This window comes from Homo sapiens, chromosome 7 (genome assembly GCF_000001405.40).
Source record: "Homo sapiens chromosome 7, GRCh38.p14 Primary Assembly".
NCBI classification, from domain to species: domain Eukaryota; kingdom Metazoa; phylum Chordata; class Mammalia; order Primates; family Hominidae; genus Homo; species Homo sapiens.
Genome location: NC_000007.14, coordinates 43,392,516 through 43,413,012, shown reverse-complemented (window position 1 = coordinate 43,413,012; position 20,497 = coordinate 43,392,516). Strand labels below are relative to the sequence as shown.

Here is a 20,497-nt window from a genome sequence, read left to right as displayed (position 1 = left end):
GATCTAGATTTAGAAATACCATTTGACCCAGCCATCCCATTACTGGGTATATACCCAAATGAGTATAAATCATGCTGCTATAAAGACACATGCACACGTATGTTTATTGCGGCATTATTCACAATAGCAAAGACTTGGAACCAACCCAAATGTCCAACAATGATAGACTGGATTAAGAAAATGTGGCACTTATACACCATGGAATACTATGCAGCCATAAAAAATGATGAGTTCATGTCCTTTGTAGGGACATGGATGAAATTGGAAATCATCATTCTCAGTAAACTATCGCAAGAACTAAAAACCAAACACCGCATATTCTCACTCATAGGTGGGAATTGAACATTGAGATCACATGGACACAGGAAGGGGAATATCATACTCTGGGGACTGTGGTGGGGTGGGGGGAGGGGGGAGGGATAGCATTGGGAGATATACCTAATGCTAGATGACGAGTTAGTGGGTGCAGCGCACCAGCATGGCACATGTATACATATGTAACTAACCTGCACAAGGTGCACATGTACCCTAAAACTTAAAGTATAATAATTAAAATAAATAAATAAATAAATAAATAAATAAATAAAAGAAATGAAAAGCATTAGAAATAGGAAATGTATGGGGAGGCATTAAGGACTATATTTTTTTCCTAGTTTCTTTAAAATACACATCCACTTAAAGCAAAAATTTTTAACATCGTCATGTAGGGTTTATAATGTATATACAATGTGATATATATAATAACTATAACAAGAAAGATCACGAGTGTGGATAAATGCAGGTAATATTGTTGAAGAGTTACTGCATTTTATGTAAAGTGGTACAAAATTAACTCAATGTAGATCATGAAAATATAGGAAGGTATTTTATGGTCCCTAAAGCAACTACAAAGGAAGTAACGCAAAGCCGTGTACCTAAAAATTCAGTAGATAAATTGAAATGAAATTCTAAAATATATTCAAATAATCCAAAAACAAGTCAAGAAGGGGAAATAAGAAAACAATCCAGAGGACAAACAGAAAACAAATAATAAAATAGTAGGCCTAAATACAATTACATGAATAAATATGTTAAATGGTAATGGGCCATTCATTCCTATTAAAAGGCAGAGATTATTGTAATAAATGAAATTAAGTCCGAAGAATATGCTGTCCATAGGCAATGCACTTTATAAGTAAAAACACAAACATTTTGAAAGTAAATGGAACAAACACTAAACATAAGGGAGGCTGGAGTGGCTATATTAGTGTGATAAAACAGCCTTCAAGACAAGGAGCACTACCAAAAATAAAGAAAAATATTTTAGAATTATAAACATGATGCATAGACATAACTATGCAAGTACCTAATACCAGAGCTTCAAAATACATGAAACAAAAGTTGACAGAATTAGAGAAACAGACAATTCCATGAACATAGTAAAGGATTTAAACATGCTTCTTGTGGCAACTGATAGAACAGCTAGACATAGAAAGCAATAAAGACACAGAGAATCTCTACAACTCAGTCAACCACCTTGACTCAACTGATATTTATAGGACTTGATATGCCACAATAGGAGAATATACATTCTTTTCAAGTTGATATGGTAAGCCTACCAAAATGCATCATATGCTGGACTGTAAAACATGGCTTGATAAATTTAAATAGATTGCAATCATATAGAGTATGTTCTCTAACCACAATAAAATAAAATTAAAAGTCAGTAACAAGAAGATATTTAGGAAAATCCCCAGGTTTGGAAATTAAACAACTTATTTCAAAATAATCCATGGGTCAAAGAAGGAATATGAAGAAATATTTTTGACGGAATGATAATAAAAGTATAAATTATATACAAATTTATAAAATGCAGTTAAAACAGAGATTAGAAGAAAACTTATTGCTTAAATAATTGTATTAGAGAATAAATGTAAGTCTAAAAGCAAGACCTAGACTTTTACCCTAAGGAGCTAAAAAAAAAAAAATAGAAGGCAATAAAGGAGATAAATAAATGAAAATAAGGGCATATATAAAAATAAATAGAAAACAGTTAAACATAGAGAAAATGATGTCAAGAGCTAGTTCTTTCACAAAATAAACAAATTTAATAAACCCATATTTAGATTGGTTAACAAACAAAGAGAAAAAAAGCAATTCACCAATATATAAATGAAAGAGGTATTGTCCTTAATAAGCCTACAAACATTAAAAGACAATAAAACAATACTTTGAACAACTTTATGCCAAACAACACAAAAAGATGGCAATATTTCTTGAAAGACAAATGCTTTCTCTTAGAAGAAATAGGTAATCTAAATGACTCTTTTTATTTAAAAGACTAAATTCATAATTTAAAGTCTTCTCACAGAGAAACTCCAGCCTAAGATGTTTTCACTGGTAAATTATATCAAACATTTAAGGAAGAAATAATAATTATACACAGACATTTCCAGAAAATATGAGGAGGAAAACTTCCTGTTGTGGACTGAAACCTGTTATAGACTGAATGTGTGTGTGTGTGTGTCTCCTTCCACCACCAACCCCCAAGTTCATATGTGAAACTCTAACACCCAAAGTGATGGTATTAAGAGGCCGGGCCTTTGGAGGTCATTACGTTTAGAGGAGTCATGAGGATAGGGTCCTCACGATGGGATTAGTGTCCTTATAAGAGTGTGCTCTCTTTCCTTTTCTCTCTTTCTAACGTGTGGATGGAGCAAGAAGGCAGCCATCTGCATCCCCAAAGAGGCCCTCACCAGAACCCAACCGTGCCAGCATCCTGGGCTCGGACTTCCCAGCTTCGGAACTTTGAGAAATACATATCTGTTGTTTAAGCCACCCAGTCATTTTCTCCCAGGAAGAAAATGCAAAGTCTTGCAAGGAGAAGGCTTTTTTGGCCTGTTGCTTTCTTCCTGCCTGGAATTTGGACTTGAGGCTTTAACAGAGGAGGATGAGGCCATCTGCTAAGGATGGTGCAGTGGCAGGCCCGGAGAGCTGGGATCCCTGGGGGCTCACTCAGCAGCGGCACCGCCTGGATCACCTCCCTCTGGATGTCTTGTTTGTGAGAAATATCAGAGCCAGCCAGACTTTCCCTTGCATGGAGCCAAATACATCCTTAACTGACATAATGGTAAGCAATGCCTGATCAAAGAAGGCTTTGAATGCTCTGCAGAGGAGCTATGACATTGACACTTGGACCCTGGGAACTGTAGTACAATTTAGGGGTTGAATGGACAGTTTTGCAGCAACACAAACCTTGGTTCAAATCTCCTTTAGCCAGTTACACACTGTTTAACTTGGGACATCAGTTATCCTCAGCCTGAGCCTTACCAGGGGGACATGAGATGAGGCATATTTTAGATCAATAACTCCAACTGCAGCACGTGGGATGGAAGGGAGGTGGCCCAGAGCAGAGGGCTGGGGAGAGTTTGCCAGTATTCTGCCAGAACAAAATCAGTGTTAACCAAAGCTTCAGAAATCATTTCAGAACTTAAAGTGAATTCTAGTTGACGTTTTTAGCCAAAAAACATTCTGATAGTGCTGGATTTTCCAAACATTCCCTGACACTTAAAACACCTTTATGACTAAATGTCTTAGAACAGGTTCCTCTAAAGTCCTTCAGAAGAGAGAAGCCTTTCCCCCCATACAAAATAAATTCTTTTGACATCTTTTATTATCTCTAGGAATGCAGGGAAGAGTTCAGAAATAATTGATGAACACAGGCAGGACTGAAGAAACAAATTAAGATTCATTATTCCATTCTAGCGGTGCTATCAGTGTTTTAGAATCTGTTGATAACCAACGCTAGGAGGAAGTTTAAGTACAAGTCTATTTCCCTCACGTCCACTTCAAAGCTCTAACGAAGCTCTTCTGGGAAGCCTGGGAGAGCGCTAATTAAGCCCAGGAAGGGGGTGGTATGATTTAATAGATAATAAAAAATCTTTGCTCTCATATGTCTAATTATGTTTTCTTGTCAAGGATGCTTGAAAGCTCTAAATCAGAGATGATCTACTCTGAAAAATAAAGGAAGAAATCCTCTCCAAAGCAAGTTCCTTTGGTGGGAGCACGTTTCCATCAATAATAGGCTGATGAGGGTAATCTAAGGCTCAGGTGGAGGATAACTGATCTCTCAAATTTATAAACTATTAACTGGCCACACTGGGATTAGAATCCAGGTTTCTATGACTGTAAAACTGTACTTTTAACCTACATTATACCCCATCCACTCTCATGACCTAGGCCTCCCCTCCCCTCAGTCACATGGTTTGGAGGTTATAGCTTCAAGCTCAGGTCTGGCAGGGAGGCAGCCAAATGGGTGGTGATGACTTTCTTTTTTCTTTCTTTTTTAGAGACAGGGTCTCGCTCTGTCACCCAGGTTGGAGTGCAGTGGCATGATCCCAGCTCACTACAACCTCTGCCTGTCAGGCTCAAGAAGTCCTCCCACATCAGCCTCTCCAGTAGCTGGGACCACAGGCACACACCGCCAGGCTCAGCTAATTTTTTTTTTTTTTTTGGTGGAGATGGGGTTTTGCCATATTGCCCAGGCTGGTCTTGAACTTCTGGAGTCAAGCGATTCACCTGCCCTAGCCTCCCTAAGAGCTACCTTGCCTGGCCAAATAAGTGGTGCCGACTTTCTACATGTCCTTTAGGAGAGAACTTGGAGGACCCTCCTAACCCCTGGCAAAGGCAACACTTTCAGGAGTGGAGAAGGGCCTTTGTAGACAACATAGACTATTCAATACTGTAGCAAGCTGCCCAGCCCTTTGCAAATCATGAAGATAGGATAAACCATTAGGCTTCATTATCTATTTAAATCAAACAATATTTAACCCAACCAGGGATATTTTAGGGCTTACTGATTCACCTATCCCAGGAACCTCCCAGTTTTAGAATCTCTGAAACTGGTCTAGAAGGCTATATTTAAGATTTGACACCCTTGCTCAAGGATCACATGCATGGGAAGAGCTGTGGAGAAACTGGAAGGCTCTGATCACAACTCTTGTCTTCCTTCTCCCACATGAAGGGCAGAGGGAAAGGCCGTCCTGCTCGCGGCATGGGTTCTGAATCAGAAGAGGCTACTGCATGCAGTGCAATGAAAAGTGTGTTAGTACTGTCCGGATGGACTTGATCAAGATCCCTGAGTTGCAACCCCTGGAGAACATGGCTCCCTTCTAAGACCATGACAGCCATAGATTGAGCAGCAGAGTCCAGGGCTCCATGAATGGAGGGAAGGAGGAGGGCTGGTTCACAGTCAGCCCTTTCACTTTTACTTGGGCTTTTTTTCAGGGCCCACAGCACTCACCTCGGCCTGCCAGATGGGGTTCACGGTGTTGCCTATGATCTTGGATCTCCTCTCCTGTCCATGGTGAGGGAGGGCGGGGAAGATGCTGTGTTTCCCAGGCTGAATGGAAATCTTCAGATAAGGGTCTGGGTTGAAAAACATCCCTTTCTTCAACCCCATGGCTTGGAAATCTATAAAATAAAGGATACTTTAATTTAAATATGTTTTAGGGAGGTTAACGACTGGCATTTGGTAACCACACCTTTCATGAGAGGACCATTGGCCCTTATGAACTAGATCTCTAGTGTTACTCAGGCAGGTAAACAGGCTGGGGTGAAGGAGTGAGGGTCACCCCAGGAAACGTGGGTAGCACAGGGAGAGAAAGTCCAACTTTGGAAATTTGATGGGTCCGGGTGTAAAATTCCTCTGCAAGGTGGAGACATTAAAAAAATAGGGGTTGTAGTCTCACGATATATGTGGGCCTCACTGAGTAAGGTGAGAGAATTGGCAGAAATAAAGAGAAAGGAGAGGATTAAAAGAGCACAGAGCGTGGACAATGGAGGAAAGAACAAACAAGACCTGGCCTCCACGGGGCTGAGTGCAGTCAATGAGGAGAGTTCTGAGAAACCCTGCTGCCAGGGAGGGCAGGGCTTTGAAAATCGAGCTGTTCTGTTTAATTGAAGATATCTGACCATGTACAATTTCATGCTGCACAAGGAGAGAGAGACAGAAAGAGTGTGTGTGCACAAGGTCATTTAAGGCAACAGTTTATAGTTGGATAATGTGAAATCACATTATATTTATTAGAAATATATTGATGATGTCAAGGAATATAATTTTTTTTGAGATGGAGTCACCCAGGCTGAAGTGCAGTGGTGGGATCTTGGCTCACTGCAAACTCTGCCTCCTGGGTTCAAGCATTTCTTCCTGCCTCAGCCTCTCGAGTAGCTGGGATTACAAGTGCCTATCACCATGCCTGGAGAATTTTTGTATTTTTAGTAGAGACAGATTTTCGCTGTGTTGGCTAGGCTGGTTTTGAACTCCTGACCTCAGGTGATCCGCCCGCCTCGGCCTCCCAAAGTGTTGGGATTACAGGTGTGAGCCACTGTGCCCAGCCAAGGAATATAATTTTTAAAGCTTTTCTATTATTGAAGTATTTTTCAAACAAAATTATTTACATTTATACACAAGTGAAACAAATGGAGGTAAAGATACACAGGATCAGGGATTCCCAGTCATGGTTTAAGTTGTGAGGGGTTTCAATAATTTGTTACTGACGAAAAAGCACAGTTGTTTTCATATGCACTTATTTAAAAGTTATTTTGAGTTGATCCAAGGTTATCCCCTTAATAAAATTATTCCTACTCTCTGGCATGATAATGTATTACTGCTCTGTGAAAGGGCTGTATATTCAAAATGACCACCAAATGCCAAAGGAGTTGAGAAACCAAAGAAGGAGGCAGACAAATCCAGTTTGTCGGTAAAAGGAGTTTTATTAGGGAACTCACAGATAAGCATGGTCTTGGGCTGTAGGAGACTGGTAGATCTCTGCACTGTTACTCCCTAGACCCAGGGCTTATGTACCATAGGGAAGGGGTATATAAGCCCTTGCTCTGTGCAAGACAATGAAAGGCAGCCCTCCAGAACAGGCAGGAATGCTGCATGCATCACAGCCTATTGTTTCTGTCATAACATCAAGGTTGACATGTTCTTACACTAGAGACAGTGGATAAAGTAGGAAGAGGAGGCATGCGCAAGACTGGGGGGTGATCAGAAGTCAACACAGCAGATTCACATCCACAATGGAGTCACTTTTGCCCCCACAATTGCCAATGAAAGAAAAAAGGCAGGAAGTACAAGCATCACAGAAATTTGCAAAACCCAGGCCACATCTGCAGGAATGTGTGTAGACAGAAGTTAACATAGCAGCCTGAGACTACTCAACTGCTTATAAGGTTGGCTCTTGGCTAATGTCTAGAAACCTGGATTTCAGGAGGGCTCCTACCTTCCCAGAACGGGTACGAGTGGCTCACTGTGCCTAAAGTGTTTGTGTAAATGATGTGGCTTATGGTGAACACTGCTTTCCTTCTGGGAGGCCGGAAGTTTGATGTGGGCTAAGCAGAAGATGCACACATGACCAGCACCACCCCCACTGTCCCCCAACCAGCCATCTAGTAGAAACCCAGTCTCAAGTCTCTAAGAAGCTTCCCTGGTAGACAGCATTTCCACGTGCTGTCACAGTTCACGCTGGGGGAATGAAGCATGTCTGTGTAACTCCACCGGGAGAGGCCCATTGGAAGCTTGCTCCTGGCTTCCTCCAGACTTTGCCCTAAGCACCTTTTCCCTTAGCTAATTTTGCTAAGTGTCCTTTCACTGTAATAAGTCATACCACGAGTATATCTAGATGCTGAGTCTTGTGAGTCCTCCTAGCAAATTGTTGAACCTAGGGGTGATCTTGGAGATCCTGACTTATTAGAGTGTGAAAGACATATATATATAAAACATTCATCATAAAATAGTGACTACCATTGCCTCCACCACCACCTACTATTTATTTGTTATCTACTAAATTCTGGGAACCATTCTAAGCACTTAAAATACATTTTCTGATTTAATCCTGAACACAAACTCCGCAAGGTAGAGATTATATCCTTAATACAAGAAAGAGAAAATGAAGGCTTACAGATTGTCAGGGCTGGTTGACATCAGAGATGAGATTTGAACCCGCCTCTTTGATTTCAAAGTCTGTGCTTTTGTTTTTTTGTTTGATTTTTTTGACATGGAGTTTCACTCTTGTTGCCCAGGCTGGAGTGCAATGGTGTAATCTTGGCTCACTGCAACCTCCGCCTCCCGGGTTCAAGCAATTCTCCTGCCTCAACCTACCGAGTAGCTGGGATTACAGGTACTCACCACCACCCCTGGCTAATTTTTTGTATTTTTAGTAGGGATAGGGTTTCATTAGGTTGGCCAGCTGGTCTTAAACTCTTGACGTAGGGTGATCTACCTCGGCCTCCCAAAGTGCTGGGATTACAGGTGTGAGCCACTGTGCCCGGCCCAAAGTCTGTGCTTTTAACCAATCTGTTATATTGTCTTTTTATAAAAATGTCAACTTTGGCATAGGTTAAATTCTCAAATATAAATGAGTCTTTTTCGATACACTTTGTTCTGTTCTATCAAACAACTTGTCCACATCTGCACCAACATGTCTTCATCAAATGTTTGATAGCTGCTAAATTAAGTCACTCTTATTGTTCTTATTTTTTTAAAAAGATAACACCTTTCTTTATCACTCAGCCATTTATTGTTCCAGATGAGCCTTATTAAATTTTAACAACTCCTTTCAAAACACTTGGATTTTGATTAGAACTGCATTGAATTTATATCTTAGCTTTGGGAGAATTAGTAGCTTTAGAAAACGGAGACTTCTACTCAAGAGCACATGTTTCTTCATTTGTACAGGTCTTCTTTCCTGTCCTTCAGCAAATGTTTACACTTTTCTTTATAAAGACTTACATATTTAATTTCAGTCTAAATACTCACTGAGATATACGTTTCATGGAATAAAAGTACTTGAAAACTGTTGCAATAAGAGGTATAATTTAAAAGGCACTGGACTGGTAGTCATTTGAGAACACTCATTGTTGAAATTTGTAACTTTGAGTAAACCAATTTAACTCTTTCAGGTCTTAATGTTTTCCCCTATGAGACTGTTGGGAGAAATGTCCATAAGAGCACATAGAGTTCTAGAATTTTCCAAAAGTAAATGCTACGTTAAAGGAGAATAGTTAATTTCTTCTCATTTTTGCCTGTATTTTTTGGTTCTGGTGATAGACATATGTACATTTATTATAATACTTAAAAATATAGAATGAAAAAATAGAATTTTAAAGTTATTTCAAATAACTAATTGAAATAATTATTTATTTCAAGTTAAGTACCCCCTCCCCACCAGTGGCAACCTTTGCCAAACCTTATTCCTCCTAGTATTTTTCTTTGCGTAGTTGAGAACATACTGCATATTCATTACTGCATCCAAGATTTTTCTTTTGACTTGCATCATATGTGTAAGAGACAAGAATATATCACCCCATTATATGTGAGAGCCTGGGAAACAATATCCCAAAATCTGTGACTTTGGCATAAGGATTATTTTGAGCTGAAGACAACTGAGAAGAAGTAGATAAAAGAAAAGCTCTTTGCCCTCTCGCTATTTTCCCAAAAGCAGGGCATAAATTTACAAAGGTGTCCCTCTTCCGCTCTCTACCAGGGGGATCAAAGGTTGATCACCAGAGATGACTTCAGACCAGTACCAACCAGGAGACAGCACCAGACGAATCTGCATAATAAACTGTACTAAACAGCATCTATCTACCATACCATAGCCTTCCCAGAACTTGCTGCCCCTGAAGACTCAAAGTCCTTTTCCTTTGCCCTGTCACTTCACTACAAATTGTACTGTTCTTTGTTGAAGACATTATGTAAGCTGAAATTCTAAGCCACTTCTTTGAGATTTACTCATTTTCCCTGGGTATCTCCTATGTATACATGAGATATACATGTTAATAACTTCTGTTTGTTTTTCTCTTGTTAATCTATCTTCTGTTACAGGGGGTCCTCAGCCAAGAACTTATGAAAACCAGAGGAAAAATTATTTCCCACGCCAACAACATCATAAGGATGTTCCCATGCCTTTTAGAACATTTTGAATACCCAATTCTTAAGAGTATATAGCATTTAATAATTTGGCTCTACGGTAATTTATTTAACCAAGCCCTAATTTTGAATGTTTAAGTTGTCTCCAATATATTTGTAAATAAATCTTTGTTTGCATTTCTGATTTTTTCAGTTAGAATGCTAAAAGTGCACTTCATTGAAAATTAAAGTGATAATATTTATCTAGAAAATGTATTACCTCCAGGCAGTGGTAAAAACAGGAAGTATAAATAGACTTGACAAGTAAAGCATTTGCATGAGCAATCTTGCTTTGATATGTTCATTGTACTGTTGGAGCTTTCTAAGAAGGCAATTCCATTATCTACTTTCTGCTTATTTCCCCTTTTAAACCCTAAAAAGAAAATCAGTCTTTTTATATTGCAATGTCCCCAATTCTCGAGTTTTCTTGGATTTTATCTCTGTATGCTGGAGTACATGCTTACATATTATTTTAAAGTGAGGTGTAAGTGTGGTAGTGTTTGAGCCCTTATAAACCTGAGGGTGTTCCTCTTGCCTTCCCACATATATGAAAATCTGGTGGACATGGAAATCTTGGGTAAAACAATTCTCCCCTTAGAACTTGTGAAATAGGAGAGTTCCCTGACCCCCCTCACAGGACATGCAACAGGGGTGTGGCTCGTATGCTCAAACCTCTTATGGGAGAGGGAGCATGCAGACGGGCAGGTGCAGGAACCGGAGTGAGTGCTTTTGGGCTCCGGCCCCGCGGTAGCATCTAGGGGAGGGTGTCTGTGACTCCTGGAGCCCCAGTGGGTGAGTTACAGTGCTCCTTTAGCTCTGCCATCTGCGGCTGGCTTAAGTGTTAACCAATTCATTGCCTTCTTGGTATCTGGATCCTTGTCTGGCGTCCAGGAAGAATCAGATCACACACCGACCTGAAGGATGGTGAATGCAGGGGTTTCAGTGATTGGCGGAGGTAGCTCTCAGCAGGATGAGTGGTGAGCTGGAAAGAGGATGGAGTGGGAAGATGATCTTCCCCTGGAGTTTGGCTGTCCCTCGGCCAATCTCCTCTTCGACCTTCCCCAACTGAACTCCTCTCAACATTCGGATGCTCCTTCTCTTCTCTCCTTCTCTGCCGTGCCACTCTTCTGTTGCTCTGCTCTTCTGCTCATCTGCTTGTGGAGCCTGGGATATGGGGCTTATATGGGTACAAGATAGAGGGGCATGGTGGGCCAAAATGCAACATTTGGGTGCGAAAACAGGAACGCCTGTTCCCATTTAGGGCCATGGGTTTCCAGGATTGAGGGTGGGGCCTTTGCTGGGTAACTGCCCTCTTCTACCCAGTATTTCCCTGTCTCCTGTCCGTATCACTTGGTAGGCTTTGCTTCATTATTTTGGCATCTCAGAAGACAAGTCTGAGATTAGCATGAGGATTGTTCTTTTGTACGTATCATGCATTTTCAGCCCAGATGTCTACTGTGGCTATATTTGGGGGAAAAAAAAAAAAAAAAAAACCTTTTTAAATGAGATTTGTCTAGGTGTTGGTCTCTTCATATACATTTCTTTCTCTGAGCACCTGATGGTCTTCTTTAATTTAAATACTCAAAATTATCTTCAGCTCAAGGAAGTTTTCTTCTATTACTGTTTCTGTTCAGTTTGTTCTGATTTCTTCATCAAAAACACTGATTATGTGTTGGCTCTGTATGTGCCATTCATCTTTTTTTCCCTCGTCCTTTTTGGACTTTGCCCTTCATTGATGCCTTCCGGGAGAGACTCTCAAGTCAATCTGTCATATCACTGATTCCCTTTCTGTAGTGGTGAGTGTGACCTGTACTGCTTTTGAAGGCTTTTAATTCTGTGATTGTACTTTTTAGAGTTTATTTTAAATCTCTTCTTGACTGCGGTAGACAGAATAATGACCTCACAAAGATGTTCACATCCTAATCCTTGGAGCCTATGAATATGTTACCTTACATGGTAAAAGGGACTCTGCAGAGTGATTAAGTTAAGGATCTTGCAGTAGAGAGATTTATCCTGGACTGTCCAGGTGAGTGCAACGTAATCACAGAGTCCTTGTCAGATGGAGGCAGGAAGAGCAAAATGAGGAGAAGGCAATGTGATGAGAGAAGCAGAGATTGGAGCAATGTAGCCATGAGCCAAAGAATGCTGGCAGCCTCTAGAAGCTGAAAGTGGCAAGGGATGGATTTGCACCAGAGCCCCCAGAAGGAACCAGCCTGGCTGACAGCTTGATTTTAGTCCCTTAACATTCATTCTGGACTTCTGACCTCCAGAACAGTAAGAGTACATTTGTGTTGTTTAAGCCACTAAGTTGGTGGCAATTTGTTATAGCAGCAAGAGAAAGCAAATACACTTGACTTTCTAAGTTTCTATTTTTGCAAGCTTTAAAAAACTCCCTTATCATCTTTTCTCATCTTTGATCTCTTATTTAATATGCTCTGCACTTCCCTCTATTTTGTTGAGGGTACAAGCAGATGAGTGATAAATATTTTACTTCTCTTTAGTAGGTATCTGTCAATAGAATAGTTTCTTTTTCTCTTGAGTATTATAGTCTTCGACTTTTTAATAGGGTAGAGTATTTTCTCCACACATTGTTCAAGTCAAAATTTCTGTTGTTTACCTACGAGCATGTCATGTAGTCCCGGCGTTTGTCCATCTTTAGTGAGTTTGGTTGTCCAACTGGTTGTTGCTGGAATCCTTAGCTCTGCTCTTATACTCAGAGCTGACCAGCATGGAGCAAATTTTTGATATTTTGTGGGCTTTGCTGATCTTTCTGTCTTGTCTTTTTTTGAGGCATGGAATTTATTTTTATTTTATTTTAGTCTTTTGAAGCAGGGTCTTGCTCTGTTGCCCAGCCTGGAGTACAGTTGCACAGTTAGAGCTCACTGTAGCCTCTAACCCCTGGGCTCAAGTGATCCTCCTGCCCCAGCTTCCTGAGTAGCTGGGACTATAGGTACATGCCACCATGGCTGGCTAACTTTTTTTACTTTTTGTAGCAATGGGATCTTGTTATATTACCCAGGTGGTCTCAAACTCCTGGGCTCAAGCAATCCTTCTGCCTTGGCCTCCCAAAGTGCTGGGATTATAGGTATGAGCCACCATGCCTGGCTGCATGGAATTTATTTTGATAGTTTCAACAGTATTTGCTTTTTGTCCTAGGCAGACATAGTGAATGCAACATACATATACATAGCCAACTACTGAGCATTATATGTCCATGACCATTCCAAGCTTGCTCCGCTAGCTACTAACTTTATATTCCTAGTCACTTTCCTTTGCTGGGAATGGTTGTCTTGGAATAAATGTAAGAAAAATGATGTGTTTGGGGACTGCAGGAGATGAACCAACCCTGATCACCTTATAAAGTAGCTTTGTGAACCAAGTTGGGGTGGTGGTGGGGCTTCCTCCTCTGGTAGGTCTGTGAGCCCATGTCTTCATGGCAGAGGCAAAGCAGAGATAAAGGAATAGAGACTGTCCCCTCCCCAGTCCTGCCCTGCTCACCATGCATGGCATTCCTCTTGGGCTTCAGGACTTGGACTTCACTGGACCTTTGGTTAGTGACAATTCCTCTTGGTTTCTGGCACATAGTTGTGCAGTATTCCTGGTTTCTACTGTTTTTGAAGGTTGGTATTAATCATTGTTATTTCTTAAGCATTTCAATAGGAGTTGCTAGCTTTTGCCTTAGAAGTACAAAATTAGTGAGTTGAAACCACCACTGCAAAATTATAACTGAGACAGTGAAAGAAATCTGACCTAACCAACTCCATCTTGCGTCTAACCTATAAGCTGTCTTTGTTCATTCCTGGGAACAGGCGCAACTAACTTTGGGAGGAACTTAGTTTATGGTTTACCTTTGAAACAAAGACAACAGCAGCTCTTTCCTGAAACAAACCCCCTTCTTGCCTGGAGACTAGACTGCATTTGTAGGACTAACAAATTAGTCAAAAGATTATAAATTATGATTTAGGAGTCATATAGCTGGAGGCTGCAAGATTCTGACTACCCCCAAATTGCTCCTGGAGATAATGTCAGTATTGTAAAACCTAAGATTAGTGCTTGAGATATTTTGCAGATGCTGTACTTGATGGATCAGCTGGCACCACCCAGGTGGCTAAACTGGCTCATCTGATCTTGTGACCCCCACCCAGGAACTGACTCAGCATAGGAGGACAGCTTCAACTCCTTATGATTTCATCTTCAACCCAACCAATCAGCACTCCTGACTAACTGGCCCCTACTCACCAAACTATCCTTAAAAATTCTGATGGCCGAATTCTCGGGGAGACTGATTTGAGTGATACTAAAACTCTGGTCTCCTGCACAGACAGTTCTGTGTGAATTACTCTTTCTCTACTGCAATTCCCCTCTCTTGATAAATCGGCTCTGTCTAGGCAGTGGGCAAGGTGAACACATTGGGTGGTTACAAGTTTTTTCTTCTTTTTTTTTTTCTTCAGCCTAGATATACACATGCTAACACTGTCAATGGATCAAAACATATTTGCTTTACTGGGCTCACTTAGACTTGAAAAGCCCAGTTAACAGTGTAGCTCCCAAGGAGGCACATGTACTTCATGCCTGTGACCTCTGGCATTCATGGCCTGCAACATCTGTTGATTTGACAAGCTAAGGTAGTAGTTTTCCAACTGTGCTCAACAGAGTCCTCAGGCTTTATGCCGCTGTGTCCCCTTAAAGACTGTTTAGGGTGGGATTGAGTGTGTGAAGCCCTGAGCTTTGTATATCATGTTAGCCAGAGCAGCTCAGTTTTTCTTTTAAACTTTTATTTATTTTATTTTATTTCATTTTTTTTGAGATGGAGTCTCACTCTGTTGCTTAGGTTGGAGTACAGTGGTGCAATCTCGGCTCACTGCAACCTCCACCTCCCATGTTCAAGCCATTCTCCTGCCTCAGCCTCCCAAGTAGCTGGGACTACAGGAGCCCGCCACCATGCCTGGCTAATTTTTGTATTTTTAGCAGAGATGAGGTTTTGCCAAGTTGGCCAGGCTGGTCTCAAACTTCTGACCTCAGGTGATCTGCTCACCTTGGCCTCCCAAAGTGCTGGGATTACAGGTGTGAGCCACCACTCCCAGCCCTAAACTTTTAATTTTTATATAATTCTGGGTTTACAGAAGAGTTCCAAAGATAATACAAAGATTTCCCACATAACCTTTGCCCAGTTTGTCCCATTATTAACATATGATGTTGTCAGGCATCTGAGCCCAAGCTAAGCCATCATATGCCCTGTGACCTGCACATATACATCCAGATGACCTGAAGCAACTGAAGAACCACAAAAGATGACATTCCACCACTGTGATCTGTTCCTGCCCCACTCTAACTGATCAATTGACCTTATGACAATACACCCTCCCCACCCTTGCAATAATGTATTTTGTGATACTCCCCCACCCTTAAGAAGGTACTTTGTAATATTCTCCCCACCCTTGAAATGTACTTGGTGAGATCCACCCGCTGCCCACAAAAAATTGCTCCTAACTCCACCTCCTATCCCAAACCTATAAGAACTAATGATAATCCCACCACCCTTTGCTGACTCTCTTTTCGTACTCAGCCCACCTGCACTCAGGTGAAATAAACAGCCATGTTACTCACACAAAGCCTGTTGGTGGACTCTCTTCACACAGACATGCATGACAGATGGAACCATGGTACATTCATGAAAACTAAAACGTTAACTTACTCTTAAATATTAAACTAAAATATTATTAGTTAACAGACTTAATTGGATTCCACTGATTTTTTTTCCATGAATGAGCATTTTTGAGCGGCTCAGTTATCTGTTTTGCCAGTTGTGCCCCATGTGAGGTTTTGTTTAGACAAAGAGTTGAATAGCTGCTTCTCTTCCCAGGTTTTCCTTACTTCCCCTTGTATATGCTCAACTACTGCTACATGGACCTGGGGGAAAGGTAGAACTGCAGCCTCCCTTTCCATCATCTCAACATGCTTTCACATCTATTACTTCCTAAACTCTCTATTATCCTTATGTGGTCAAGGGAAATTGAACAGATTTAAAAAACATTTTTGCTTTACAGATTGAGAAATTGAGGCACAGAGAGGTTGACTGACTTGTAGGTAAGAGTGAAATGGAAGTGAGTGTCTTCACTCTTGGTTGACATTCTTAGTCTCTCCACAAAGTCTCAGGTGAGCAAAACATACCTGAGAGAGAGAAGCTGATCAGCCTCCGACTTCCTTGTCCTTGGACGGTCTCATCAGCACCAATGCTTTTAAAAATCTGTAAAAAGAAGGAAAATGGGAGACAAACAAAACAAGCACTGAAATGGATATTCACACTTCAACACAAGCATGGTTATTCACAGTGATTTTACCAGCTACAGGCAACGAAGACAGTGATTTCACTGGGCAACTATTGATTAAAACAACTTTCTAGCAACCTAATGTTTTTCCCAGTAGTAGAGGATCTGCTAGTGGGGGTGATGGGTACTTTTCAGGAAAATGGAAATCAACAAACACAATTACTGTAATAGAAAAGACCCTTTGTAACTACTTATGCAAACCATGTCTTTTCACATTCAAATTTGCAAAAAGTATTTATTAAAGCAGGGCCTAAGGCACTAGAATGATAGGTCAATAGATGTTTACTATTGTAATTATAATGTATTTCCATTTAGCAAAGTAGAGTGTTGAACTGCTGCATCTCCACTTATTATTATTTAGGGATTTCCAGGAAACTGCTGGAGAGGAGCCTGAACAAGGCATTAAGGAGCTCTTCTGAGGTCTCTCTTAATTAATCAATTGCCTTCCTCGGAAATTTCAGAACACAATTGTTACATGGATTATCTAGAATCTAGTAGGTATTTGAAAACAATGTTGCTAAAATGTTTTGTTTTTCATCATTGCTCAATATTTAGTAATAGGTTAATCAAAATAGCTAGGGTTTTTGCTTCCATTCTCTTCTAGGAAGGTTTTATTCAGAAATGATTTTGAGTATTTGAAGGCAGAATGACTCTTCCTATTTGCCTTTGCATGTGTTGTATGTTTGCAGAAAATAATTTTAAAACTCTGGGTATTAAGCAAATCCACAGTGTCCATTTTTTAGAAGGTAATCTGTACTAGGAAGAGAAAAATGAAAATATCCATAATCTCTTGCTCAGAGTCTCACTATTTGTAGATTGTGTGGGTTCAGTCTTTTTCTTTCTTCTCTTAGTATTCTTGATGCTGTATAGGTTGTGATTGGATATTCACATCAACCTGCCTGATATGAGACTGGGAGTAATGACTGGGCATCACAGGGCTCACAGCTTCAGGCAAGGGGAGTACAAAGGGATTATTATTCATCTTTTCACACTGAAGCAGGTGCCCCTGGTGAGCCTGTGAGCTTGGCTGCTGCTTGTAGACAAATCTTGGTATGACTGCCCTGAAGCCCAAATGTGATGTGCATCTCAGGGATCCTGGGCTGTTCAGCAGAGGGAGCCAACCAGTGGAGTGACATACGGAATGGGGCTCGGCACCAGGCCAGATAAGAGATTGTCAAATTCTTTGACACATGTCTGTCCCTTAGAGTCTCATTTGATAAGAATCAGAGTAAAACATGGCCAGGATTGGTGAGTCAAAACTCTCATAGGTCCTGAGGTGTTATGAAAACTTGAAACTTACATTTGTCTTAAAGCTGCCTTTGCAAAATTATGGCTGAGACAGTGAAAGGGATCTAACTTAACTGACTCCATCTTGCTTCTAACCTCCAAGCTGTCCTTGTTCATTCCTGGGCATAGGCTGAACTAACTTTAGGAGAAACTTAGTTTGTAGTTTACAGTTTAAACAAAGACAGTAAAAGCCCTTTCCCAAAGCAGATCTCCTTCTTGCCTGGAGACTAGATTGTCTTTGTAGGACTAACGTTAGCTGCAAGATTAGAAATTATGGTTTAGGAGTCATGCAGCTGGAGGCTACAAGATTCTGGCCCTCCCTAAATTGCTCCTGAGATCAGTGTTTGAGATATTTCATAGACCCTGCACTTGATGGATCAGCTGGCACCACAAGATCAACAAACTGGCTAGTCTGATTTTGTGGCCCCCACCCAGGAACTGACCCACTGCAAGAAGACAGCTCCGACTCCCTATGATTTCATCTCTGACCAATCAGCATTCCTGGCTCACTAGCTTCCACCCCCTCCAACCCACTACTCCACCCTGCCCCACCAAGTTATCGTTAAAAACTCTGTCCCCTGAATGCTCCGGGAGATGGATTTGAGTAATAATAAACTCCGGTCTCCCGCACAGCACAGCCGGCTCTGCATGAATTACTCTTTCTCTATTGCAATTCCCCTGTCTTGATGAATCGGCTCTGTCTAGACAGTGGGCAAGGTGAACCCTTTGGGCAGTTACAGTCTCATTGGAATTCCTTCCTCAGGAAACTGACTCTCAGGTGAGGGACTGAAACTCACCAGATGCCCAGATCTAGACCATTGGATGCCATACCCCTTATTCATCTTCCTTAGTTCCTTAGACTCCTCCTTTGTTCCTGTTTTACATTCCTTCCCTGATATATAAACCCCAATTTTAGTTGCTCAAGGAGATGGATTTGAAACTTAACTCTTATTCTCCCAGTTAACATCACCCAAATAAAAAGCCTTCTTTCCTGGCAATACTCATTGTCTCAGTGATTGGCTTTCTATGCATGGAGCAATGGGACCTAGAATAAATCCCTGGCATTTTGACAACAATTAGCCTTCTTCACATCAGAGGGCCTTCTCCCTCCTCCTTTATGTCTGTTATTCCCATCAATGGCTGACACCAAGAAATGGAGATCAGCCATCAGTTCAGAGACCACATCCTCAGGCTAGACCATGCTTTTCTTAACTCTGAAGGTGGCCAGTCCTCATGGCATAATCAGGGCTTCCAAATTCCTTAGTGTTGTGGACTTTTCTTCTCTTGCAAGCCTGTGCCTGGACATGGCTGTGGGAGACCTCCACATGCTGACCACCCCTCCTCACAGTGCTATACTGCACCACCAGGACAATTAACAATCAATGGCTAAAGCCTCTGGCTCCTAATTCTAATTTAAAAATGTCCACCCCAAATTTGTCTCTTTCTAAGAATAAAAGTTCTTTGGGGGAACAATAGAAACTATAATTTTAATAATTATAGTTTATAGAATCGTAAGTCTAGAGTATGTGCATTCCAATGTATATTTTTTAAAAGTATAGGATTAAATGGCGTATTTCATGCTAAGCTGAAATGAGCTCAAACATGCAATGATAACAAAGGATGGTACATTTATTCCTTCCTTTTTAAAGCATACATATTTTGGTTCTTCATATTTAAATACTCCTCTGCTGGCATTCATAGTATTTACAAAGAAGCCTCTTCATCTTTATTGCATCAAAAACAGGTCTGTAGATGAAAAAAAAAAAAGAAGAAGAAAAAAGAGTATGTTTTCCAAAAGCTACTAAGCTCAGTGAGGAGACACATCATTTAAGTCTCCATAAAATCCCACCTAAATTCTTGGCTTTTCACTAACATCATTTACAAAGTCATCTAAGCACCACACTGATGATACAAAAATGGAGGGAATGGTAGCCATAATAAACATTTTCCAGGAAGTAAAAATGTTTGCCCAGTCTTAGGAAGGTTTGACAACCTGACTTCTCACTCGAGATGCGTTGCAGAAGCATGTTTGACGTTGAGAAATATGCTATACTCACAGACAGACTCTTTACAGTTTATTGACTGTGAAAATGATGTGAAGACTCAGCCCAAATAGTTTCACCCTGGAGCAACCTGAGGCTGCAGGCCTGCCAGGGACATGGCTGGTCTTCTCAGGGCTGACAAGCTCCCTTTGCTCTGTGGCTTGTCTGATGCCTGACTACCATTCTAACTGCTTGGTGCTGGGTCCTGTTGCCCCCCCTCTCTCTGTTGAAGCTCTGGCAGTTTCACTGTGTGTGTCTTGCACCCAAATGTTTCCACAACAGAGCATACTTGGCAAATGGTTTAACAGATTCCAAACTGAATCTGTTGTGGGGTGTAGAAGATTCTGCAGGGTATTGAGAAGCTCTTGGAGTTAAATTAAGAGCTTTGAGGTTAATTCAGATGTCTTTCTCTCCTACTCTCATTCTCATTTTCTCTCTACAATTGCCTTTTGAAAAGTTGTAAATATGAATTCACACCACTGTTGCACACCCCTAAAACTGCAATTCAGCAAAAGAGTGTGAAGATCAGCTCTTTTCACCCTGGCAGGGGATCTTCTGTTTCAGCAGTCCGGAGACTATAGCTCAGTTGACAGGGCTCCCTCGGCCTTTAGTCTCCAGCATGTTATTCAAATTTTACCCTTTCTTTGCACAGTATCACTGCATGAAAGATGAGGTGGTTTGCTAAAAATACACAGCAGCATCTAATCACACAGTCATATATGTGTGCTGACCTATATCCCAGGTCTTCCAGCCTCCCAAGACATCAGGGCTTCTCATACAGGCCCCTTCTGTTCCCAGAGGTAAGCAGCTATGCCCAAGGGCAAGGGTGCCTGCCTGGGAACATCATTTTACCCAAAATTTTGGGTTAAATTGTCTTTATTTTAAAA

At 41.0% G+C, this 20,497-nt stretch overlaps 1 protein-coding gene across 19 annotated transcripts in view; it reads right to left on the bottom strand.

Annotated features, from left to right (window-relative positions):
• HECW1 (HECT, C2 and WW domain containing E3 ubiquitin protein ligase 1) overlaps positions 1 to 20,497 on the bottom strand; it is a 453,355-nt gene that overhangs the window by 152,989 nt on the left and 279,869 nt on the right. For all 19 annotated transcript variants that reach the window (NM_015052.5, XM_017011883.3, NM_001287059.2 and 16 more), the window contains 2 exons: positions 16,124 to 16,199; positions 5,282 to 5,451 (listed from right to left, as the gene is read on the bottom strand). In NM_015052.5, coding sequence (NP_055867.3) covers positions 5,282 to 5,451; positions 16,124 to 16,199 — 246 coding nt within the window. The remainder of the gene's footprint in view (positions 1 to 5,281; positions 5,452 to 16,123; positions 16,200 to 20,497) is intronic.